General features: G+C 43.7%; 1 annotated feature.

The window, feature by feature from the left end:
* Positions 7,505 to 7,739: a silencer, noted in NCBI's record as "fragment chrX:69306192-69306426 (GRCh37/hg19 assembly coordinates)". NCBI's record gives its function as "represses an EF-1alpha promoter that drives an FKBP-Casp9 reporter gene in an ReSE screen in K562 erythroleukemia cells {active_cell/tissue: K562}" and the evidence as "EXISTENCE:reporter gene assay evidence [ECO:0000049][PMID:32094911]".

Genomic DNA, 8,273 nt, shown 5'->3' on the forward strand with positions numbered 1-8,273 from the left:
CCACCCCATACCTGAGATAAGAGATAATGTTTTTTCTGCAACTTGCTCACCCTTCCAGGAAAAACTCTTCTTTACTGACGATTTAGAATGTTACAATATAGGCAATGGAATCCATTAAGTTAATGTTTTCAGAAGAAATGAGACATCAGAGCTATGCTTTAGGAATGACACAAAGGATGACATTTGGGGGAAATAATGAATTGCAAGGAGAGATTGAAGAGAAGAAGATGAATTGAGGGTTTCTCTTTTAATTCATGACAGATGATGCTGACCTGGATTGGGGCAGTGGCAGCAGGGAGAGAGGAGGGGACCAAAGTCGTGAACATTAGGAATAGAATTAGCATTTATGTGGAGATTAAGGGTAAAGCCAGGATCAGAGGTGATCCTGGTGATTCCCTGGTTTCTAAGTAATTCTGGAAATGGTTCACTGAAACTTAGGCCCTTAAAAATCCCTTAAATCAGGGCCGGACACGGTGACTCACGCCTGTAATCCTGGCACATTGGAAGGCTGAGATAGGAAGACTGCTTGAGCTCAGGGATTCAAGACCAGCCTGGGCAACACAGTGAGATCCCGTCTCTACAAAAAAAATCTAAAAATTAGCCAGGTGTGGTGGTATGTCCCTATAGTCCCAGCTATTTGGAGAGCTGAGGAGCTGAGGTGGGAGGATAGCTTGAGCCTGGGAGGTTGAGGCTGCAGTGAACCGTGATTGCACCACTGCATTTCAGCCTGGGCAACAGAGCAAGACCCTTCCCCTCAACCCTTAAATTGTCCATTCCTCCCAATAAAATCCCTTAAATTGTCTATCAAGTAGAGTATATCCAGTTTCATGTATACAACCTTTGTACACTAAAGGTTTTTGGTACCTCTGAGCTAAACTAAAAAGAGGTGTGCGTGTGTGTGTGTGTGTGTGTGCGCAAGCGAGAGAGAGAGAGAGAGAGAGAGAATGTGAGAGAGAGAGAGAGAGAGAACAGACTATCTTAGAAAAGATAAGAAAGTACAAGAAGACAAACTCAGTGGCTAAGGGGCAGGGTGTGAATGTATTGCTTATTCAAAATAATAAATATGGTTAAAATTTAAAATATATATAATTAAAATTAATAAAGTTAGTAGCAAGCCAAGCATGTGTCAAGAGTCATCCAGCAGTAACCCTCAGCAAACAATATTGCCGCCAAACTCAGAATGATTCACTTGATAACAGTAAGACAAGAGCTTCAGCAGGACAGTGCAGGGAGGGCTCTGGCACTCTGGCTGTAATGAGTTCTGCATCCTTCTTCCTGTAGTTCTCCAGTAAGTAACTATTTGGCTGGATTTCGTAGCCTATCTTTTTATCGTATGTACATCCCACCCCTTTCAAGGAAAGCAGTGATTCTCAGAAATAATAAAGTCACATTTTAAAAAGCAATAATTTCTTTCCTGAATTCAGACCCATGATGGATTTTGGGTTTTACATCATTTTGCAAAGCAGTTTCTGTTCTTTCTGTTTCTACTGGTGGAGAGACCTGAGGCCCATACAATGCTTTGTCTAAAAACAGATCCATTAAACCCTAGTGACACAAAGAAACTGCAGCAGAAGCTTTGAAATTCAAGAACTTTTCGCAGGCTTTTTTTGTTGTTTTGTTTTTGTTTTTTACTTTGGGCCAGGTCAAATTTTTAGCTTTGGTGTATTCCCCTCTCTGATCTTTGAAGATAGTCCCCCAAAAGCCAGGTGAGGAGAGTGCAGGAAAGAAAGGATGGTGGGGAGTAACCCTTAAGATTCCATAGAATAAGCAATAGAATAAGCACCACGAGAATAGACATCAAACATTATCAGAGCTTTGTTTTTTCCCCAGTGGAGTAATAGGTGAATTTAATTTCTGCAGATTATCAGCTGTGAGCATATGTTACATTTTATTTTACATTGTATTTCAACAAAAACAAATCAGTATAAACACTCCTAAATAGTATAAGAGACTCATTAAATGATTTTATAGTATTTTTTCTGCAAACAAAATGCCTTTCTGTAAATAAGAAAAAAATCATTTTAAATTGCAAATGTTTTCCCTTTTTTTAATGGAAAAATAATCAGGCGCAATTTTTTTCAATGAATAAAGATTTCCCCAGACAGACTTGTACTAAATGTTAACATTTTAAACATTTCAGTGATGTAGTATGCTAACTACATACACATACACAATAGCTAACATGAAGAAAAGTTAAAATCTCCCTTAAAAAACTGAAAATTGATCAAACTAATAATTCAAATTTTTAAAAAATTCAATGTTTTCCTAAAAATAGCTTTATATTTTAAGGACTTACTAGAAAAATGAAGCTGCAAAGTAACTTATAGAATAAAACCATACAAGCAAGTAGGTAATTTACTATAAAATTCATTGTCATCCTCCTAAGTTTTTCAGTATTATATAAAAACTATAAATGTTAAAATAAATGTTTACAAAGGAGGATGTGACTAAGGCAACAGGAGGATGGGGGTTGGGGAGACACTTCTGGGGTAATCATAAATGTGTTATTTCTGGATCTGAGCACTGGTAATACAGCTGTATTCATTTGGGAGCACTCGTGGAGATGGACCATTATGAAATGGGAACTTTTCTGCATATGTGTTATACTTCTATTTTAATAAATAACATTAAAAGCAAAAAAGAGGGGAAAGTCAAACAGAGGAGTTGAATGTTACAGAATTTTAGGATGGTGACCGAGACTAGGTTGGATATTGTGAATAACAATAGTGACAATAACTACCATGTATATGGCTAATAATTATTTCAGTGAACACTTATCCTGTGCCAAATATTGCTATAAGTACTTTACATATATTGACAAATTTAATTCTCCCCAACCCACTGAAGTATGCACTATTATAGTCTCCATTCTACAAATGAGGAAACTGATAAACAGAGTGGTTAAGTAACTTGCCCAAGGAGGTTATAGACTACTATTTCAAGAAGTTTATAGTGAATGAAAAAAGAGAACAGTAAATCATGCAGAAAACAGGGAGGTTTGTTTTTTGTTCTGTTGTATAGGCAGGGGTTGAGCGCATTTATGTTTCAGGAGAGAAGCCAGGGAAAGGGGAGTGAAAGTGCTTGATCCCTCCCTCAGGCGACCAGAAAGGATGGATCAAGAACCCAAGTATGTACAGCTTTGCCCAAGGGAATGGCCTCCCCTAAGATCTGAAAAGCCAAGAGTTCTGTGCACTAGAGAGCAGAGAGAACACACCTTAGGTAAAGTAGATTGTTGAGGACCTTGCTGAACGATGAGGAGGCCAGGAGTGGGTAAAGAAAGCTGGAGAAAATATGCAGTGAGGATTCCTCAATGTCTATCACAGTTAAAGCAATTGCACATGTCTGAATCCCACCCCAGGCCTACTGAATGGCATTCTCTGGAGGTGGATTCCCCGTGACAGCATTTTTAACCAGCTCTAAAGGTGCTTCCGATGTCCCTTAAGTTTAAGAGACATAGTGGCATGTGAGATCCACAGACAGAGGATGAAGTGAAGAAGGATCCACCCTCTAAGACGGAGCATGGAGGGACAGTTTCCCCAGAAACTGGGACTTTTTAAATAAGTTCTTCAAATGATTCTAATGTAGGTAGTCTGTGGGCCACACTGAGGAAGTTTTGCCTGTAGGGTGACAGTGGCTAAGCATGTAGACTCTGGAGCCAGATTCTGAATACTGTACTACTATTACCTGTGCAACCTTTGGCAAGTGAGTTAACCTCTCTGTGCCTCAATTTTCTCATCTGAAAAATGGGGCTAATAATAGATAGTACCCATTTCATAAGGTTGTTGTATTAAATAAGTTGATATATGTAAAGTGCTTGAAACATAATAAACATCCAATACTCAGTAAATATTAGCTATCAGTGTTGCTTTGTTTTTATCATTCACCATAGTTGGGGGGTGCAGGACCACTGAAAGTATGACCTGAAAAGTAGGTTAGGCAATGGAATGTTCAAGTAGACTCATGAAAATCACCCGAAAAGTCTTGTGACCAGCTCAGGAGGAGAAAGGGGGACTAAAACCTAATAATGAGGCAAAGTGAGAGTTGTACTCCTTTATGACTCGTCTGACTAGGGTCCCTCGTTGGTGAAGACAGTCATTGACAGGGGAAGTGTCACGCAGTATAGAGCTACATCTGGCAAAGTGAGAGTGGCAGGGAGATGGACATAAAACTGCTGCTAGGCCCTCCCTAGATGGAGAGCATACTGGTTATTGAAAGAGGCTAATGTATTCAAGAAAGACTTGATAAAAAGAGTAGCTTGGGAACCAGTACTGCAAGGATGGCCAACTGCTTAAAATCTGCCTTGTTCTGTCCCTGGTGGGAAACACCAGGCTCTAAAAGTGCTCTCAAATCAACTAAAGTCCTTTATTACCATCTGACTAAAGGCCTTAGATTCTAAGCTAAGCCTCCTTGGCAAGCATTTGGAGACCTGTCACCAGCCACAGGGCCAGGCTGCTGCTTAGCCTCTTGGTGTGTCTTTTGCTCCTTTGCAACTTAATCCTGTTTTGGATGTCAGTTACGCGGGACACAGAGAGGCTAGAGAGAAAGCTGGAACCCAGGTCCCAAGAGAAACAGTTGAAGGAGCTGGGGCTGCTTAGCTTGAAGAAGAGAAGACTTGAGTGTTTTGAATGAACTTCTTCAAGTTGGTTTTTGTTTGTTTGTTTTGTTTTTTGTTGTTGTTGTTGTTGTTGTTTTTGAGATGGATTCTTGCTCTGTCTCCCAGGCTGGAGTGCAGTGGCACGATCTCGGCTCACTGCAACCTCCACCTCCTGGGTACAAGCGATTCTCTGCCTCAGCCTCCCAAATAGCTGGGATTACAGGCACCCGCTACCATGCCCAGCTGATTTTTGTATTTTTAGTAGAGAAGGGGTTTCACCATGTTGGCCAGGCTGGTCTTGAACTCCTGACCTCGTGATCCACCTGCCTCGGCCTCCCAAAGTGCTGGGATTACAGGTGTGAGCCACCGCGCCCGGCCCAAGTTTTTTTAAAATCAATTTAGCTGGTAGCAACTGTCCCTCGCAGCCACCAGAGGCCCTGTCAAAAGAACATCAGCAGGGGACCAACTTGCATGGGTCCCTTTTGGCAGGCAGCCTCAGGGTCAGGGGTCAGACTGCGGGCACTGCTTCAATGACACAACTACAATGTGAAAGTCTAAGAGTTCTTATTAGCACTTACCCACCCTGGGGTGTACACGGCATGCCCTGGAGGCCGCATGCACACAGGCACACACACAAGGTCAGGGAGCACGTGAGAGAGAAGAGAGCATGTCAACTAGCAGCATATATTGGAGAATAGGGTGTGTGGGGGTCGCTTTTAATTTCACAGGCAAATGCTTGAATGGTCCTGCACCAGAGATGTCTCTAAGTTCTTATCTCCAAACACCTACTGGAGCCATTTGGGTGTGGTGTCGAACTGGAAACGGTACTGGAAACGGTGTCAAGGGTGATTGAATGAGACCTGCCTCTGGCACGAGAAAGCTAAACCTGCATTCAAAATGAATGCCGAGGCAACATAAAATTATAAGCATTCACTACATCAACGCAGTGTGGGTTCTGTACCTCTGAAGGGCTATTATAAAGCTGCAAGAGCAGGTGGGATGTGAGGGGTGGTGCCCAAGGGGCAGAACTAGGATTCATAAGTGGGTAGAAATTTCAGGGAGGCATCTTTCAGCTCAATACAAGGAATTAACTTTCTAAGAGAACTGATCGACCATGAATCAGAATGGATACCTTGTGAGGTACTGGGTAATGAGTTCCCTGTCACTGGAGGAGTGCAAGCTCAGGTTGTATGACAAGTTTACAGGAGAGCACATTTAAGCATCCAGTTAAACTTTACAGCTAAAACGCTTGTTCTCTGTTTGTGTTCAGCAGCCTGGTTTCATTTCATAACCCTTGGCTTCTTAGCCCTGGGCTTTAACAGGCTGATTTAACATCTGGCAACCAGGTCACATCTAAATATAACTAGGAAATGGATGTTGGGTAGCACTTTGATTCTCTCATAAGCCCCAATTAGGTCCATGAGCGTCTCTCCTTTCTAGCTACCGTCACCTCTCCTCTCTCAGACTGCCTACAAAGTAGGATACATTTCTCTGGTTCCCTGATTTCTTGCTGTCTTTGAAACAAACCCATAGGCCCTTTAGGATTTAGGATAGGAGGTGACAAAACAGCAAACATGGGCAAGTAATCCAGAGGCCCAGGAACTTTGTCCAAGTTTCCAGAGCAGATGTCCATTGTCTACTAAACAAGTGCTTCTCAAACTTTCATGTGCATTGAATCACCCCGGGATCTTGTTACAATGAAGATTCTGATTTAGGATCCTGAGAGTCTGCATTTCTAACAAACGCCTGATGATGCTAATGCTGCTGGTCCATGAATCTAAGACATTATGTAAATGGCAGGTAACTCACATGCCTACAGGATTAGCATAAATAGTTGAGCGAAGCCCAGGGGTTCTGAGAAGGTAGCAAATGGATAAACCAGTTGCTCTTCAAATATCCCTGGACTCCCTGGGCCCTAGATCTCGTTACCTACCCCATCCCCCTGCCCAGGTGAAGGCCTCCTTGGCATTTTCTTCAGATTTCTTCCTTCAAAACAAAGGGCTTGGAATCCACAAAGGGCGCCGCCCACCACCAGGTACAACGTTTAAAAAAGTTTTTAATTTAAAAAATTTTATTTTTGGCTAGGCGCAGTGGCTCATGCCTGTAATCCCAGCACTTTGGGAGGCTGAGGCAGGCGGATCATGAGGCTAGGAGTTCGAGACTAGCCTGGCCTACATGGTGAAACCCCATCTCTACTAAAAATACAAAAAAATTAGCTGGGTGTGGTGGCAGGCACCTGTAATCCCAGCTACTCGGGAGGCTGAGGCAGGAGAATCGCTTGAACCCAGGAAGCGGTTGCAGTGAGCTGAGATCACGCCAATGCACTCCAGCCTGGGTGACAGAGCAAGACTCTGTCTTGCGGGGGGAATGGGGGGGTGCTCTTTTTTTTCATTCAATACAATGCTCAATGGATGTCTCCATCTTGAGCTCTCCCACCTCACACACACGCTATTTTTTTTTTTTTGAGACAGAGTCTCACTCTGTGACCCAGGCTGGAGTGCAGTGGCATGATCACAGCTCACTGCAGCCTCGATCTCCCCAGGCTCAGGTGATCTTCCCACCTCAGCCTCCCAATTAGCTGGGACTACAGGTGCAAGCCACCACGCCTGGGTAATTTTTGTATTTTTAGTAGAGACGGGATTTCGCCATGTTGCCCAGGCTGGTCTCAAACTCCTGGGCTCAAGTGATCCACCTGCCTCGGCCACTCAAAGTGCTGGGATTACAGGCGTGAGCTACTGCACCCAGCCTGACTTTTGTTTTGTTTTGTTTTTTTAATACAGACGGGGTCTCATGTTGCCCAGGCTGCTCCTGTGCTCAAGCAATCCTCCCGCCTCGGCCTCCCAAAGTGCTGAGATTACAGGTGTGAACCACTGCACCTGGCCACACACACACTTTAAACAGAAGGTTTGCTGCAGTTGTTTTTTGCCAGTAGACTCCAGGACAAACCCCAAGTTGGAGGGCAAAGACTTTCACCTCTGTAAAAGAATTGTTCCTTCCATAAGAGGTTCATCCAGTAAGAAAAATGGTAGTAGAGAAAGAGACTTAAGCCTGGGTTTATAATCATTGAAGAAGACCCTACCCCACCACCTTGGTCCCTCAGGGAAGTAGCAGTGGAGAGCAAAACCCAGCTCATTCTACAGAAGCCCTCTTTCATAATGGAAGCACAAATACCTCCCCAAAAGGAGCTGTGCTAACTTTCAAGAGTGGTGGGCATCCTGTCATGAAACAGCCTGGGCACACAGCTATATGAGTCAGATATGGTAAACACCAAGCATCCCAAGGAGGGAAAGGTTCTCAGAACTAGCTGCCTCCCCAAGGGAAGGAAGAGTTGTGTTCAAGGCTCCAGGACATCATCCCTCTCACACCACACTATGCTCTGGGCGCATGGAGGGGTGGTGGACCTCATACCTCAGGGGCATGTTCTGTTGGAAGTGGCTCAAACGAGACACTTACAAACCTGTCTCAGCAGCCTGCCTGTCAAATTATACCTCTGTGCTGGGTCAAACTTTTGGCCAATTAGAACTTAGAAGAGCAGACCAGTGCGGTGGCTCACGCCTGTAATCACACCACTTTGGCAGGCTGAGGTGGGAGGATTGCTGGAGCCCAGGAGTTCGAGACCAGCCTGGGCAACATGGTGAAACCCCTTCTCTACAAAAAAATAGAAAAATTAGCAGGGCAT

This window comes from Homo sapiens, chromosome X (assembly GCF_000001405.40).
Source record: "Homo sapiens chromosome X, GRCh38.p14 Primary Assembly".
NCBI lineage: Eukaryota > Metazoa > Chordata > Mammalia > Primates > Hominidae > Homo > Homo sapiens.